This window comes from Homo sapiens, chromosome 12, assembly GCF_000001405.40.
Source record: "Homo sapiens chromosome 12, GRCh38.p14 Primary Assembly".
Taxonomy (NCBI): Eukaryota; Metazoa; Chordata; class Mammalia; order Primates; family Hominidae; genus Homo; species Homo sapiens.
The window spans coordinates 121,541,710-121,559,403 of NC_000012.12; the positions used below are offsets into that span (position 1 = coordinate 121,541,710).

The following is a 17,694-nucleotide window of genomic DNA, read 5'->3' on the forward strand; positions in this document are numbered from 1 at the left end:
AGGGCCAAACCTATGCTTTATGTGGGGTCCCCATTTTGCTGGGCTTTTGAGCTCCTTTACTGCTTGTCAGATCACAGCATATCTTCATTCCACCAAGAAACTTGATCTCTACAAACCTGTATTCTACAGGAGCAAAGGAGGGGAGGAGACTCACTAATCCACTTCTGGAATCTATCACAGAACCCAGCGGTGCTAAGTGAAAAAGGTGAGCCCATGTCATAGAACTAGGCAACTGTGGAGGCTTTGAAACATGTCTACAAATGCTTTGATACACCTCCCTTCGAGAGGCAGAGCTAAATTCTCCTCCCCTTGAGTATGAGCTGGACTTAGTGATTTACTTTTAATTAACAGAATATGGCAGGAGCAAACAATATGTGACTTTCAAAATTAGGTCATAAATGGCACTGTGGCTTCCTCCTTGGTGTTTCTTGAACCATTCACTATGGGGAACCCACTGCCATATCATGAGGACACTCAAGCAGACCTATGGAGAGCTATATGTGGCAAGGAACTGAGGCCTCCTGCCAACAGCCACGGGGATGCACCATCTTGGAAGCGGATCTTCCAGCCCATAGAGGCTTCAGCTGACTGCAGCCCAGGCCTACATCATTCCCCCCACTGCAACATTTCTCACTATGTTGGCCAGGCTGCTCTTGAACTCCTGGGCTCAAGCACTCCACCCCCCTTGGCCTCCCAAAGTGCTGTGATTACAGGCGTAAGCCACCACACATGGCCAAGGCCTAACACAAGCTTATAAGAGACCCTGAGCCAGAACCACCCAGCTCAGTTGTTCCCAGATTCCTGAATCACAGAAACTGTGAGATAATGTTTGATGTTTTAAGCTGCTAAAATTTTTCTTAAGCTCTGAAGTTTTAGAATAATTATACAGCAATAAGCAACTAATGCAGGAATACTCCCAAATAACAGTCACTATCTATTTGGTTATAAGGAATTTTCTAAGACAAATGGTTCTATACATCCAATGCATTCCTGCAGGGTACAGATGAAGAAAAAGGCCATTGGCAGAGATGCACCTTGTCTTCAGTATTCATTCAGCCCAATCCTTTTTCCTGCTTTATGTTTCTCCATGACCATTAAACCTCCTAAATTATTCCCTCATTGGCTTTCCTGTCTCTTTTTTCCCACCACAATGTATGCTCCACGAGAATGGGGACTTGGCTTTATGCACTGAAGTCCACCCACTACTACATAGAATCATGTCTTGCACATAAGATAACTAATAAATTAACATACTCCTTGCAAATCTTTTGTCTCTGTGAAGGTGCAACTACCCCCACTCCACTCCTATTACTCCTACCTGTTTTTAAGTATCTCAACTAAAATAAAAATCACTGAGGCCCGGCGCAGTGGGTCATGGGTCATGCCTGTAATCCCAGCACGTTGGGAGGCTGAGGCGGGTAGATCACTTGAGGTCAGGAGTTCAAGACCAACTTGGCCAACATGGCGAAACCCCTGTCTCTACTAAAAATACAAAAATTAGCTGGGTGTAATGGCGGGAGCCTGTAATCCCAGCTACTTGGGAGGCTGATGCAGGAGAATCGCTTGAACCCCAGAGGTGGAGGTTACAGTAAGCTGAGATCTCACCACTGCGCTCCAGCCTGGGCGACAGAGTGAAACTCTTTCTCAAAAAAGAAAAAAGAAAAGAAAAACACTGAGTCCTAAGCCAGCTGGGCATGGTGGCTCACACCCATATTTGTAACTATCTGGATCACTTGAGGCCAGGAGTTCAAGACCAGCCTGGGTAACACAGAGACATCCCCCTGCTGCCATCTCTACAAATTTAAAAAAAAATTTTTTAATTTTTAAAAAGATCAGCCGGGCCTGGTGGCTCATGCCTGTAATCCCAGCACTTTGGGAGGTCGAGGTGGGCAGATCACGAGGTCAGGAGATCGAAACCATCCTGGCCAACATGGTGAAACCCCATCTCTACTAAAAATACAAAAATTAGCTGGGCATGGTGGCGTGTGCCTGTAATCCCAGCTACTCAGGAGGCTGAGGGAATCACTTAACCAGGGAGTCAGAGGTTGCAGTGAGTCGAGATCATGCCACTGCATTCCAGCCTGGCGACAGAGTGAGACTCCGTCTAAAAAACAAAAAACAAAATTAGGCCAGGAGTAGTGGCACACCCCACCTGTAATCCCAGCACTTTGGGAGGCCAAGGTCGGTGGACCACTTGAGTCCAGGAGGTCAAGACCAGCCTGGGCCAACATGGCGAAACCCCATATCTAACAAAATTAGCCAGGCGTGGTGGTGTGTGCCTATGGTCCCAGCTGCTCGGGAGGCTGAGAAAGGGAGGATTGCTTGAGCCTGGGAGGAGGAAGTTGCAACGACCCACAATTGCGCCACTGCACTCCAGCCTGGGCAACAGAGAGAGACCCTGCCTCAAAAAAAAAAAAAAAAAAAAAAAGCCAGGTACACACCTATAGTCCTAGCTACTCAGGAGGCTGATGTAGGAGGATCACTCAGGAAGCTGAGGTAGGAGGAGTCCTGGGAGTTTAAGGCTGCAGTAAGCTAGGACTGTGCACTACACTGCAGCCTGGGCAACAAAGCAAGACTCTGTCTCCAAAAAATAAAAAACAAATAAACAAAAAGATTCCTGGCTGGGCATGGTGGCTCACACCTGTAATCCCTGCACTTTGGGAAGCCAAGGCAGGTGATCACCTGAGGTCAGGAGCTCAAGACCAGCTTGGCCAACATGGTGAAACCCCGTCTCTACTAAAAATATAAACATTAGCCGGGTGTGTTGGTGCACACCTGTAGTCCCAGCTGCTCGGGAGGCTGAGGCAGGAGAATCGCTTGATCCCGGGAGGCGGAGGTTGCAGTGAGCTGAGATCATACCACCGCACTCCAGCCTGGACAACACAGTGAGTCTCCGTCCCCCCCCAAAAAAAGAAAAAATCAGCCAGGTGTGGTGGCTCACGCCTGTAATCCCAGTACTTTGGGAGGCCAAGGCGGGCAGATCACCTGAGGTCAGGAGTTCGAGACCGGCCTGGCCAACATGGTGAAACCCTGTCTCTACTAAAAATACAAAAATTAGCTGGGTGTGGTGGTGGGTGCCTGTAATCCCAGCTACTTGGGAGGCTGAGGCAGGAGAATCGTTTGAACCTGGGAGGCGGAGGTTGCAGTGAGCCGAGATCGTGCCATTGCACTCCAGCCTGGGCAACAGAGTGAGACCCTCTCTAAAAAAATAAAAATTAAAAAATTTTTAAAAATTCCTAAGCCCATCACCAAAAGTCCTGGAGCCGGGTGGGGGAAGCAGTCGTGTGTCTGTGTCACTTCTCTCTTCCCTACTGCAGTCCTTCCCTCAGGTGTGCTGACAGCCATCTCTACCCTCCAGGGCCTCCAGCATGAAAGCTCCATGATTTCTAGAAACAATGTCATCTTAATTAAATTCTACAGAACTGTTCTACGATCCCGGAGGACTTCATCAGGGTGGGATTTTTTTTACCTTGCTTATTAACTGAAATCGGTATTCTTTTCAGCAAAACAAATGGACTATTTCCAAGATGACAATTTCCTTCCTAACGAGGTTCGAATCCTCTAACCAGTTCCCATGACCACTGACGGGGTCCGTAGCTCTATTCGCCACACAATTCGACCCCAAGACAAATGGTCCTAGAAAACTGGCAGTGTGTGCACAGTGACAGACAACGGTTTTAAAAAAAGAAAAAAAAATGAGTGTGTGAGCCTCACTTTTTTTTTTGGTAATTAGATAGGATCCTCAATATATTAATAGAGCTTACTATTTAAAGGAATCTTTCAATAAAGTGCAGAATATGCTGAGTATCTCAGGAAGGCAAGGTAGGCATTAATTATGAAACTGAAATCTGTGTCACCCAGCGCAGTCTCTTTTGCATTCCTAAATCTATGTCCAGCTGGACCCTCAGCCCCTCCGCTCTCCCTGCCCGTCACTCCCAATTCCACACCATGCCGTGGCCTCCTCATGTTCACGTGCCCCCACGCCATCCAATCCCCATAGCAACAAGAGGACCTGCAGAATGCAAACCTGAACACATTTCTCTCTGCTCAAAATCTTGGAGAGGATTCCAGCTGTTCTTACAGGAAATGCAGACCCTCTGTTCTGCCTGGCCCACCCCACACCCACCCTGCATTCACTGCCTCTGTTCCAGCCCCACTGGCCTTCCTTCCACAGGTCCCCTGCCCCTCCCCACCATCCCAAGTCGACTACACACAGCCAGGAAAGCCCTCCCAGTCTTCTTCACCTAAGTAACCCTGCTCAGCCTTCAGACTCCAGCTCAGAACACCTTCCCCGACCACCTTGACTGGGCGAATCTCCTCCCCTAGTACCAGCTCTGGGGCACTGTGGGCCTCATCGCAGCTGCAAGTTCCCATCTATTTCTGTGATTACTGGATTTACATCTGTCTCCCCCATACACTGTGTATGCTCCAGGAGAGCAGGAACCTCTTCTGGTTTCCTCCCCACTGTAAACCCCAGTACTCAGCACCAATCAAGGGCTCAAGACATAGGCGCTGAATGAATGAATGAATCAATCAACCAATCAATGAACCATCATCTCAATCAATCAATGAGCCATCATCTGCCTCTAACTAATAATCTCTGAGTCCCACAGCCTTTTTTCGGGGCCCTTTTCACTTCTCTCCCATCTCCTCTGTCTTTTTTTTTTGCCTTTTTTTTTTTTTTTTTTTTTGAGACGGAGTCTCGCTCTGTCACCCAGGCTGGAGTGCAGTGGCGCGATCTCGGCTCACTGCAAGCTCCACCTCCTGGGTTCACATCATTCTCCTGCCTCAGCCTCCCGAGTAGCTGGGACTACAGGCGCCCGCCACCATGCCCGGCTAATTTTTTTTTGGTTTTTTTTTTTTGTTTGTTTGTTTAGTAGAGACGGGGTTTCACCATGTTAGCCAGGATGGTCTCGATCTCCTGACCTCGTGATCTGCCCACCTCGGCCTCCCAAAGTGCTGGGATTACAGGTGTGAGCCTCCGCGCCCAGCCTCTTTGTCTTTTTTTTTTTTTGAGACATGCTCTCATTCTGTCACCCAGGCTAGAGTGCAGTGATGCCATCTCGGCTCACTGTAAGCTCCATCTCCCAGGTTCAAGCAAATCTTCTGCTTCCTGCAGCTGGGACTACAGGCACCCACCACCACACCTGGCTAATTTATTTTTTTAGTAGAGATGGGGTTTTACCATGTTGGCCAAGCTGGTGTCAAACTCCTGACCCCAGGTGATCTGCCCCCTCTTGGCCTCGCAAAGTGCTGGGATTACAGGTGTGACCCACCGCACCTGGCCTCCTCTGTCATTTGAAGCTCAGGAAGAATGTCCTCTCCAAGAAGGGGATGTCCCCTGATGACACCAGCCAAATGGGATTCCTCTAGTCCCTGCTCCCCTCCCAGGACTGGAGCCACACCTCAGGCCCCTACGCGAGGCACAGCACTTTCTCCAGAGGGTAGGGGCTTGTAGTCTTGTTCCTGTTTTTACTTCCCCATCCCAGGAGCTCTGTCAATTTTGCTGCGACTGAATCCAAACAGAATGGAATTGAAAACAAGCCCTGCTCCCTCCCCACCTCGAGCCCAGTCTCTGCCTTTGATGCAGCCCAGATCCAAGGCATGGATGGAGCTTCAGCTTGAAGGGGAGGAAAACCGCCTACAAAGTAATTAAAGAAAGAGAGAGAGAGAGAGCTTGAAAGCAAAACCTTGAGAAGCCCAAGGGCCAGCCTGCTGGCCTCCCTTACAAAGCCTGGCATGCAGTCCGCACTCACTATGCACTGAATTAAGGGCTGAGTGAATGAAAAGTTCACAGCCTTGAAGCTCCTGGGGGCATTCCTGGCAGCAGGGCTGAGCAGACAGATGCTAATGGATTCAGGCCGCCAGCGCCAACTCTTCTAGGAAGCCCAGAGCAATGGCCCTGCCTGGGACAGCCTGTGTCTCCTTCCCCTTCCTTTTTTTTTTTTTTTTTTTTTTGAGACAGAGTCTCGCTCTGTCGCCCAGGCTGGAGTGCAGTGGCTCAATCACTGCAACCTTCGCCTCCCAGGTTCAAGCAATTATCCTGCCTCAGCCTCCTGAGTAGCTGGAATTACAGGCGTGCACCACCACACCGGGTCAATTTTTGTATTTTTCGTAGAGACAGAGTTTTGCCATGTTGGTCTGGCTGGTCTCGAACTCCTGACCTCGTGATCTGCCCGCCTCAGCCTCCCAAAGTGCTGGGATTACAGGTGTGAGCCACCCCGCCCGGCCTCTTTCCCCTTTCAGAGTTGGAAACAGAGCTGGAAGCCTCAAAGGTGACTTCCTCCTCCCAAAAGTTCTGTTACTCAAGTCCTTGAACATGGAGGGGCTCAAAGGTGCTACAGCCCATGTTAAATAATCAGTCTCAGGACTTGCTGGTAATGCCACATGTTGTGATGTCTTTGCTATTAAACCATGGTTGGCCAGGCGCCGTGACTCACGCCTGTACTTGGGAGGCTGAGGCAAGAGAATTGCTTGAACCCAGGAGGCGGAGGTTGCAGTCAGCAGAGATCGTGCCACTGCACTCCAGCCTGGGAGACAGAGCAAGACTCTGTCTCAGAAAAAAATAAAAATAAAAAAATAAACCATGGTTAACTTCTGTACCTAGTGTCAGCCTCCTGCTCAGAGGGCACTGTCTAAGGTACATCAGGTGAGCAGGTGGCCCCTGGACTATGTTTGGGAAAGGTTATTTTGGGTATGAGCTTCAAGGTCTCAACACCAAGGAACAAAAGAATGCCAGGTAGGTATTTCCCCATTGCTCACCAAAACCAAAGCATCCAATGTGGGCAGGTCCCCCGAAAATGCCCACTCCCAGGACACAATGTCTCATGGAGGGAGTGCACAAAAGTATGCACAGTTGTGCCCTTGCGTACAGACACACACACCGATGCAGAGGCGTCTGCCATCACTCCTCCTCAGATCACAGATCCCCAGGGGAGCTGGTCCCAGAGCAGACATCAGAGCCCCTGCAGCCAACCTGCACACGCGAAGGACCCCGTCCCTCCTGTCCCAGCTGTGCCCCCACAGGCACAGTCCTTCAGTTCTGAACGGGAGCGGTTGTGACGCTCAAGCCTTCACTGATGGCCAGGAGCCTCCTTCCCACCTCCCCACCTCCCCAAGCCTGGGGGTCAACCCTGCCAGCTCTGGCCACCAGCCAGGCAGTCTTACTTTTTCACTTTCGGGTACTTCATCTCTGCAATGGCGTTCGTGGCTTCTGTCTGCTTCTCCTTCAGATGCTGGGGCCACATGTTGTCCACCCAGTCCACCAGGTCTACCTGAAAGCCAGACCAGTGTGAGCACTGCATTTCTCCACTGCCGAGCCAGACACAAATACCCCTTTCCCCGGAGAGTCCTTGGGCCCCCCCGCTCCCCCAATCTACTGTGGGCTCAATAGTCCCAACATGGGAGGAAGGAAGGGCAGGGATGACAGGACCCACACTTTGTAGAAGGGAAGGAGATGAAACAGTCGCTGGGGGTCGGGCACGGTAGCTTATACCTCTAATCTAAGTGCTTTGGGAGGCTAAGGTGAGAGGGTCACTTGAACCCAGGAGTTCAAGGCCAGCCTGGGCAACATAGCAAGATCCCTGTCTCTACAAACCACGTTACCAACCTTAGTCACCCCTATGCCTGCCAAGCCCAGCCAGCCACACCCACATGAGCCTTTTTGCAAGGCACAACCCAGGTGGCAGGGGGACAGGGAAGGAGATGAGGTGGAAGGTATCTGGGGAGGGTACCTGGGCCCCGGACCTACCACAGTCGGACGCTTGACCAAGTGCTCCAGCTTGGTGTGGCTGAACTCTAGGCTGATGACGTTGTACAGCTTGTCCCGCTGGGCCTCGGGCGTCTCGTAGTAACGCACAAACTGGGACATGCTCATCTCCGTGCCCTTCTGGGTGTTCACATCCATCACGTCCACAAGCCGCCGGCTCCCTGGAGGCAGAAGCCACACACTGGTTGTTCCTGCCGGCTTAAGGCTCCAGATCCTACATGGGAGCCCCTCACTAAACAAAAGCTGCTCCTCCACGTTTCCCCACAGTCCTCACCCCTCTTCCTCATCTGTTCAATTACCTCACCCCATCGGCTTTCCTTCTGGGATCTGTCTCCCACCCACCTTGCTTCCCTGCACCACCATGGCCTCCACGCCAGTCTGCGATGACCTCAAAAGCTACCTAAAGGGGCCCAAGCAGCTGGGCATGGTGGCTTAAGGCTGTAATCCCAGCACTTTGGGAGGCCGAGGTGGAGGGATCACCTGAGGTCAGGAGTTTGAGACCAGCCTGGCCAACATGGTGAAACCCTGTATCTACTAAAAATACAAAGATGGCCAGGCATGATGGCTCATGCCTGTAATCCCAGCACTTTGGGAGGCCGAGGAGGGCGGATTACCTGAGGTCAGGAGTTCGAGACCAGCCTGGCCAACATAGTGAAACCCCGTTTCTACTAAAAATACAAAAAATAGCCGGGCGTGGTGGCTCACGCCTATAGTGCCAGCTACTCAGGAAACTGAGGCAAGAGGATAGCTTGAACCCGGAAGGCAGAGGTTGCAGTGAGCTGAGATGGCGCCACCTCACTCCAGCCTGGGCAACAGAGCAAGACTTTGTCTCAAAAAAAAAAAAAAGAAAGAAAGAAAAGGAAATAAACATATAAACAAGAAAATCCCAAGAAGCCAGTGACCACCTTTCTTCACAGCCACCTCAACAGGTTACAGGTTAAACCAGCCAAAGGCCACCATATGATGACAGCCCAAGGGCCAAATCCAGCCTACGGCCTATCATTGTGTGACCCAGAAGTTAAGAATTTTTTAACTTTCCTTTTTACTCTGTTGCCCAGACTGAGATCATGCAGTGGCACAATCTCGGCTCACTGCAACCTCCACTTCCTGGGTTCAAGCAATTCTCATGCCTCAGCCTCCTGAATAGCTGGGATTACAGGCATGTGCTACCACACCTTGCTAAGTTTTATATTTTTAGTAGAGATGGGGTTTCGCCATGTTGGTCAGGCTGGTCTTGAACTCCTGACCTCAAGGGATCCACCCACCTCAGCCTCCCAAAGTACTGGGATTACAGGCATGAGCCACCGCAACTGGCCTAGATTTTTTTTTCCCTACAATAGCCATACGTTTTGAGGGGTTTTCCATTTTTGTTAACGGAGGGGGAAAAATCAAAAGAAGAATACTATTTTGTGATATGAAAACTATATGAAACCCAAATTCTCAGGTCCATTTACAAAGCTTTCCTGGGGCACAGCCACGGTCATCGGTTCACATATTGTATAGGGCTGGCTCCGTGCGACAATGGCAGAGCTAAGTAGTTGCAACAGACCAAATGGCCTGAAAACCCGTAAGTATTTACTCTCTGGCACTTAACAGAGAAAGTTTGCTGGCCCTTGAACTAGACAGAACTCTCATGGAACTTAGATGTTGATATGGGTAATAGTCTCATCCCGTTCACTGAACCTGCCCTCTAACAGGCCCGTGGTCAATATTTGTTGAATAAATAAACATAGCCTTTCATGTGGTCGGAACTGAAAAATAAAAGTAACTCTGTGTAATCCCAGCACTTAGAAAAGCAGAGGTGGGAGGATGGTGCTTGAGCCTGGGAGTTTGAGACCAGCCTGGGGAACACAGCAAGATTCCATTCTTTTTTTTTTTTTTTTTTTGAGACAGGGTCTCGCTCTGTCACCCAGGCTGGAGAGCAATGGCACGATCGTGGCTCACTGCAGCCTCAACCTCCCTGGCTCGAGGGATCCTCCAGCCTCAGCCTCCTGAATAGCTGGGACTACAGGGCGGCACCACCACATCCAACCAGGTTTTTATTTTTTGTAGAGACAGGGTTTTGGTTTTCTTTGTTTGGTTGGTTGGTTTTTGAGACAAAGTCTCGCTCTGTCGCCCAGGTTGGAGTATAGTGGCACAATCTCAGCTTACTGCAACCTCCACCTGCGGGGTTCAAGTGATTCTCCTGCCTCAGCCTCCCGAGCAGCTGGAATTAAGGGCGTGCACCACCGCACCCGGCTCTTTTTCGTATTTTTAGTAGAGATGGAGTTTCGCCATATTGGCCAGGCTGGTCTTGAACTCCTGACCTCAAGTGATCCGCCCGCCTCAGCCTCCCAAAGTGCTGGGATTACAGGTGTGAGCCACCGCGCCCAGCATGACAGGGTTTCATTAAGTTGCCCAGGCTGGGAGACCACATTCTCCACAAAAAGGAAACAAAAAAAGAAAGTAACACCTTAAGTATGTAAGAGAACTTGGGTATTTCTATCTTTTGGGTTCAAGATCTAAATTTCACAGCAACCTGGAAAAGCAAGGTGAGACAGTCTGTTTTACAAATGGGGAGACCAAGGCCCAGAGACACAGCAACTGGCTCAAGCTCCCCAGAGTAGACTCTTACTACCAATTACAACCATTACCATTTACTATGTGTGTCAGCACAGGCGGGTTCTCTACATATATTATCTTGTGTTAGGTTCATCGTGGTCACAGCTCTGTGAAGCAGAACTTCAATTACACCCATTTAATGGAGGAGAAGCTGAGACTTGGACAACTAACTCGCCCAGGAATGCCCAATTCGTGAGTGGCAGAGTGGTATTTGAATCCAATTCATTCTAATGCCTAAGCCCAGGTTCCTCTCCCATCCCCCGAATACTGAATCTTGATCGTATGCTAAGGTTGAAACATGACCCCAGACCTGGCCAAGTGCAGTGGCTCATGCCTGTAATCCCAGCACTTTTGGAGGCCGAGATGGGTGGATCACCTGAGGTCAGGAGTTCAAGACCAGCCTGGCCAACATGGCAAAACCCTATCTCTACTAAAAATACAAAAATTAGCCAAGTATGGTGGCACACGTCTGTAATCCCAGCTACTTGGGAGGCTGAGGTAGGAGAATTGCTTGAACCCAGGAGGTGGAGGTTGCAGTGAGCTGAGGTCGTGCCATTGCACTCTAGCCTGGGTGACATGGTGAGACTCTGTCTTAATTAAAAAAAAAAAAAAAAAAGATTCCAGACCACAGCAGTGGCCAGGTCCCTCCCCATGGACCCTAGGAAGCAGTGGATCCAGGGGAAAGCAGCTTTTGTTTTGGCGTCTGGAGTGCAGATCCACCAGGGGGCATCCCCGTTCTTCGCTGGATATTCTGGCCTTGATCTTGGCAAGGCTAGCTCCTTCCTTACCCAGGTGCCTGGAATACGTGGGCGCCACTCAGATTTTCCAGGAGGCCCACCTGGCAGAAACCCTGCTGTCAGAACCCCAGTACCAGCCGGGCACGGTGGCTCACGCCTGTAATCCCAGCACTTTGGGAGGCTGAGGCGGGCAGATCATGAGGTCAGGAGATTGAGACCATCTTGGCTAACACGGTGAAACCCCGAGAATACTAAAAATACAAAAAATCCGCCGGGTGTGGTGGCGGGCGCCTGTAGTCCCAGCTACTTGGGAGGCTGAGTCAGGAGAATGGCGTGAACCCGGGAGGCGGGGTTGCAGCGAGCCGAGATCGCGCCACTGCACTACAGCCTGGGCGACAGAGCAAGACTCTGTCTCAAAAAAAAAAAAGAAAGAAAGAACCCCGGTACCCTCCCCACTCTCGCTCTCTGGCCAGCCTCCCACCTCCACCCACTTCTCCTCCCTAATCTTGCTCAAGGTCATGTCTGCAAAGCTCCCTGTGCAAAGGAGTCTGCTGGGCAGGTAGCAAATAGGATAAAGAGCACTAAAATCACGAACCCAGAGTCCTGCAAGTCAGCACTGAAGGCCAAGCTCAGCTACCCCTACCCACACACTGTTAAAATTTAGAGGGTTCGGTTCCCAGCGGAGCCTCCAGCCTGTGCCTCGGGCTCTTGGCTTCTCTGGGAATCAGTTTCTTCTTCATCTATAACATGGGGAACAAATAGCCAGCCCAGGAGCTGTCCTGAGACATAACTGAGTTCATGCACTTCACACTCACTTGGAGCACCTACAGGTAGGTAGCGTTACCGAGTCGGTCAGTTTCATCTGTAACTAGAGGTGGAGAAGGTGAGGAGCTGGGAAGTTTAGGGACTTGCCCAGCATCACAGCCAGTTAAATCGTTGCTGGCCAGTCCCAGTGAACAGACTGCTTAGGACCCTACAACATATTCAAGATGCAAATGGGTGTGGGGTTCTTCTGGGGAATGATGAAAAAGTTCTAAAATGGACTTTCATAATGGTTGCACAGCTCTGTGAATATACTGAAAACAAGTGAATTGTGGCCGGCCTTGGTGGCTGGTGGCTCACACCTGTAATCCCAACAGTTTGGGAGACAGAGCTGGAAGGAGCGCTGGGCCCTAGAAGTTTGAGATCAGCCTGGGTAATATAGTGACACCCCAGCTCCACACACACACACACACACACACACACACACACACACACACACACACACACAAATTGGCCAAGCATGGTGACCCACACCGGTGGTCCCAGCTACTCTGAAGGCTGAAGTGGGAGGACTGCTTGAGCGTCAGGAGGTTGAGGCTCCAGTGAGCCATGATCGTGCCACTGCACTCCAGCTTGGGCAACAGAGCCAGATCCTGTCTCAAAAAAAAAAAAAGTGGGGTGAAATGAATTGTATGGTCTGTGACTTATATTTCAATGAAACTTTTTACTTTTTTAAAATGGAGAGTCTCAGAGATGGCAAGTAATCTGGGAGTGTTTCCAAATAAATGTATACCTTGTATATATCATGATACTTGCCCTTTGTAACATACTTTTTTTTTTTTTTGAGACAAAGTCTCTCTTTTGTCCCCCAGGCTGGAGTGCGATGGCGATGGCGCGATCTCGGCTCACTGCAACCTCTGCCTCCCAGGTTCAAGCGATTCTCCTGCCTCAGCCCCCCGAGTAGCTGGGATTACAGGCGCCTGCCACCACGCCCAGCTAATTTTTGTATTTTCAGTAGAGACGGGGTTTTACCATGTTGTCCAGGCTGGTCTAGAACTCCTGACCTCAGGTGATCCACCTGCCTCAGCCTCCCAAAGTGCTGGGATTACAGGCGTGAGCCACCGCACCCGGCCTGTAACATACTTTAAATTAACACTTTTATACTCTCATTTAATCCCAGGTATATATACCTCTCTCACATGCACACAGGTATTAATCCACAAGTTATGATTTTCAGTCTTAGTCCAAATGTGGACCAGAAAAAACAAAAGAACATCTGCATCTGGGATTCATGCAGCACTCAAATATTTGATGAATGCAAGAGTAGGCTGAGTGTGGTGACTCACACCTGTAACCCCAACACTTTGGGAAGCTGAAGCAGGAGGATCACTTAAGCCCAGGAGTTCAAGACCAGCCTGGATAACATGTCAAGACCCCATCTCTACAAAAAATTTAAAAATTATCTGTGCATGTTGGCAGACACCAGTATTCCCAGCTACTTGGGAGGATCACTTGAGCCTGGAAGGCAGAGGCTACAGTGAGCAATGGCTGTGCCACTGCACTCCAGCCTAGGTGACAGAGTGAGACTCTATCTTAAAAAATAAAAAATTTTAAAAAACAGTAGATAGCAATCCTATTTTATAAAAAATGGATACCAATTTAAAATAATGTTTAATCATATCATTTAGTTATGAGGATATAGTAATTTACAAAATTATACCTTAAGACCCTGAAAATGTTATTTATTTTGCAAGTGTCAAAGTATCAAAAAAGAAAGAATAACTAGTCTGGGGTAATTTTATTTTTTTCTTTTGAGACAGAGTCTCGCTCTGTCTCCCAGGCTAGAGTGCAGTGGCACGATCTCAGCACACTGCAACCTCCACCTCCCTGGTTCAAGTAATTCTTGTGCCTAAACCACCAAAGTAGCTGGGATTACAGGCGTGGGCCACCATACCCGGCTAATATTTGTATTTTTTGTAGGGACGGGGTTTCGCCATATTGCCCAGGCTGGTGTCAAACTCCTGGGCTCAAGTCATCTGCCCACCTAGGCCTCCCAAAATGTCTGAGATTATAGGCGTGAGCCACCACACCTGGCCAAAATTTTTTATAAGAATATAAATAAGTAAGTGATATAGTTTGGATATTTTTCCCCCCCAAATCTCAAATCTCATGTTGAAACATGAATATCTCTCAAATATCTCCAATGTTAGAGGTAGGAATTGGTGTGTGGTGTTTGGGACGTGAGGGTGGATCCTTCACGAATGCCTTGGTACCCTCCTTGCATAAAGAGTGAATTCCCACTCTATTAGTTCCCATGAGACTGAATTGGGTTTTTGTTTTGTTTTTTTTGTTTTTTGTTTTTTTTTTGAGACGGAGTCTCACTCTCTCACCTACACTGGAGTACAGTGGCACGATCTCGGCTCACTGCAACCTCTGCCTCCCAAGTTCAAGAGATCCTCCTGCCTCAGCCTCCCGAGTAGCTGGGACTACAAGAACGCACCACCACGCCTGGCTAATTTTTTGTATTTTAGTAGAGATGGGGTTTCACCATGTTGGCCAGGCTGGTCTTGAACTCCTGACATTGTGATCTGCCCTCCTCAGCCTCCCAAAATGCTGGGATTACAGGGGTGAGCCACTGCACTCGGCCTGTTTTTTGTTTTTTGAGACAAAGCCTCACTCTGCTCATTAGGCTGGAGTGCAGTGGCTTGAACATGGCTCACTGTAGCCTCAAACTCCTGGGCTCAAGCGATCCTCCTACCTCAGCCTCCCAAATAGCTGGGGCTACAGGCTGGATTATTTAGAAGCATTTGGCACCTCCCTCCTCTCTCTCTTGCTCCCTCTGTGGCTATGTGACACACCAGCTCACCCTCCCCTTCCATCATGACTGGAAGCTTCCTGAAGTCCTCACCAGAAGCAGATGCTGGCTCCATGCTTCCTGTACAGCCTGCAGAGCTGAATCAAATAAACCTTTCTTTATAAATAATCCAACCCAGCTGGGCACCATGGCTCAAGCCTGTAATCCCAGCACTTTGGGAGGCCGAGGCAAGTGGATCACTTGAGGTCAAGAGTTTGAGACTAACCTGGACAACATGGTGAAACCCTGTCTCTACTAAAAATACAAAAATTGAGCCAGGCCTGGTTATGCGCACCTGTAACCCCAGCTACTCAGGAGGCTGAGGCAGGAGAATCACTTGAATCCAGGAAGCGGAGGTTGCAGTGAGCTGAGATGGTGCCACTGCACTCCAACCTGGGCGACAGAGTGAGACTCTGTCCTTAAAAAAAAAAAAAAAATCCAACCTCAGGCATTCCTTTATAGCAACACAAAGTGAACTAAGCCAGTAAATCAATAAAAATGTAATTTTAAAAAGAAAAAAAGGTTGTAGGATTAGCTAAGATTATGACCCAGATCGAACAGTAGACGCAGGGAAGGCACTAACCAGAAATCAGCACCCTCCCCTCCTCAGCCTACCCAGTTCCCTGTAATTTGCTAACGGTTTTGGCTACCCACGTACCTCAAGGGGTACTGTGAGTTGAACTGCACTCCCCCAAAATATATGTTCAGTCCCTAATATCTGTGATACAGGGTCTTTGCTGACGTGATCAAGCTAGAATGAGATCATATGGGATTAGGGTAGGCCTAATAAGACAAGAGAATTTTTTTTTTTTTTTTTTTTTTTTGAGACAGAGTCTCACTCTGTTCCCCAGGATGGAGTTCAGTGGTACAATCTCAGCTCATTGCAACCTCTGCCTCCTGGGTTCAAGCGATTCTCCTGCCTCAACCTCCCGATTAGCTGGGATTACAGGCGCCTACCACCACTTCCGGCTAATTTTTTTGTATTTTTAGTAGAGACGGGGTTTCACCATTTTGCCCAGGCTGGTCTTGAACTCCTGACCTCAGGTGATCCACCCACCTCAGCCTCCCAAAGTGCTGGGATTACAGGCGTGAGCCACCGTGCCCAGCCATGACAAAGGAAATGTGGACACAGACACACAGAAGGAAGACAGCCACGTGAAGACGGAGGCAGAGATCAGAGTGACGCAGCTACAAGCCAAGGCGCACTAAGCACTGCCAGCCACCACCAGAAGCCAGAGAAGGCAAGGAAGGACCTGCCCCTAGAGACTTCAGGGGGAAATGTAGCCCTACAGACACCCTTAATTTTGGACTTCTAGCCTGCAGAAGTGTGAGAGAATAAACTTCTGTGGTTTTAAGCCACTCACTTTGTGGTACTTTGTTATGACAGCCTAGGAAACTAATCGAAGGGTTAGTGAGAGAATGACTGGGTATACCTACATGGCTCCATAAATGTGACATATTTACACAGGGGAGGGCTGGTCCCTCCCCTTGCCTCCCTCCCAGAGCCTGGTATAAGCGGATCACGGGGCCAACACCTTCTATAACGAAATCGCAGTTTACCTAGTAGCTTCACAAACAGAAAGGTGTCACCCACTGATGACCTCATACCACTTCATCCTAAATACCGTATTTCTTGGTTACTTGTTTCTTGTCTTTCCACCCTGCTGCTCTGTGAGTGCCGTGAGGGCAGGAGGCTTGCCTGTCTTGATCGCTACTCTAGTCCAGATTTCTAGAACAGAGACTGGTGCAGGCTAGGAGCTCACTCTTTGTCGCATGAGGAATGAGTGCTGTTATTTACTTTTATGTTCTGTGTGGCATCTGACACACGACTTCACAGACAAATGGCAGGTGAACTAAAGACCTGACCTGGGGGTGGTTCTGGGTGGGCACGTGTAACAAAAAAGATGAAGCCATGAAGCCCCACCTGGAATCACCTGGTAGGTCCTGAGCAGCCCTGGGACAGCACGGCTCAACACAGAAGGACAGACATGTGTGGAGAAGGCCTGTGTTTCCTTTTCTTTTTCTTTTTTTTTTTTTTTTGAGACGGAGTCTCACTCTGTTGCCCAGGCTAGAGTACAGTGGTGCGATCTCGGCTCACTGCAGCCTCCGCCTCTTGGGTTCAAGCGATTTTCCTGCCTCAGCCTCCCAAGTAGCTGGGACTACAGGCGCATGCCACCATGCCCCAGCTAATTTTTGTATTTTTTGTAGAGACGGGGTTTCCTCATGTTGGCCAAGATGGTCTCAAACTCCTGACGTCAAGTGATTTGCCCGCCTCGGCCTCCCAAAGTGCTGGGATTACAGGCGTGAGACACTGCGCCCAGCCTAATTTTTGTATTTTTAGTAGAGATGGGGTTTAGCCATGTTGGCCAGGATGGTCTCGAATTCCTGACCTCAAGTGATTTGCCCACCTCAGCCTCTGAAAGTGCTGGGATTACAGGCATGAACCATGGCACCCAGCCTCCTTTTCTGAGGAATAACCATGCCTCCCACTGCCATCGCCGCCCTCCCCAGCACCTCCTAGGCACCCTCTTGGCCTCCGCTACTTTGCAGCTTTTCACATCACAGATGCCACTTGGGACCAGTGTTCAAGACTCCCAGTCAGGCCAGGGCCAAGCCAGGGTCCCCGCTGACTACACCTCAGCCTGCTCCGCCCTCTGATGCAAGGGAGTCAGGACTTAAGGGACTGGCTTAACTCAGCTGTATGCCTGCCTCAGACCAGGGAAGGGCTGTGGGGAGCAGCTGGGGCTGAAGTCATAGGGGGAAGCGTATAGGCAAGAGGCCTGGGCAGGCCAAGTGACCGTCTTAGGAGCAGAAGGTCGGGAGGCTTGGTTCTAAGAAGAGTTTCCTTAGTGTGCCGGGAGCTCTGAGCAGCTCCCCAGGTGTCCTGGAAGCTGGACTTCCAGGTCTATGGGAGGGGTGGGAGGGGAAGTGGTGGGAGGAGGAAGGAAAGTCAGTTCTGTTGGGCACCTGGG

The 17,694-nt window shown here is 49.7% G+C and overlaps 1 protein-coding gene across 40 annotated transcripts in view, besides 2 other annotated features; it reads right to left on the minus strand.

The window, feature by feature from the left end:
- Positions 1-17,694, minus strand: part of KDM2B (lysine demethylase 2B) — a 173,819-nt gene that overhangs the window by 133,249 nt on the left and 22,876 nt on the right. For all 40 annotated transcript variants that reach the window (XR_007063140.1, XM_047429682.1, XM_047429681.1 and 37 more), the window contains 2 exons: positions 7,751-7,929; positions 7,168-7,274 (listed from right to left, as the gene is read on the minus strand). Coding sequence is in view for 39 of the 40 variants with exons in the window: in XM_047429682.1 (XP_047285638.1) it covers positions 7,168-7,274; positions 7,751-7,929 (286 nt within the window). In the remaining variant the exon portion in view is untranslated. The remainder of the gene's footprint in view (positions 1-7,167; positions 7,275-7,750; positions 7,930-17,694) is intronic.
- Positions 5,263-5,968: an enhancer, noted in NCBI's record as "H3K27ac-H3K4me1 hESC enhancer chr12:121984877-121985582 (GRCh37/hg19 assembly coordinates)". NCBI's record gives its function as "activates a minimal SCP1, AML or CMV promoter by ChIP-STARR-seq in primed H9 embryonic stem cells {active_cell/tissue: H9 hESC(primed)}" and the evidence as "EXISTENCE:reporter gene assay evidence [ECO:0000049][PMID:30033119]".
- Positions 7,399-7,900: an enhancer, noted in NCBI's record as "H3K4me1 hESC enhancer chr12:121987013-121987514 (GRCh37/hg19 assembly coordinates)". NCBI's record gives its function as "activates a minimal SCP1, AML or CMV promoter by ChIP-STARR-seq in naive H9 embryonic stem cells {active_cell/tissue: H9 hESC(naive)}" and the evidence as "EXISTENCE:reporter gene assay evidence [ECO:0000049][PMID:30033119]".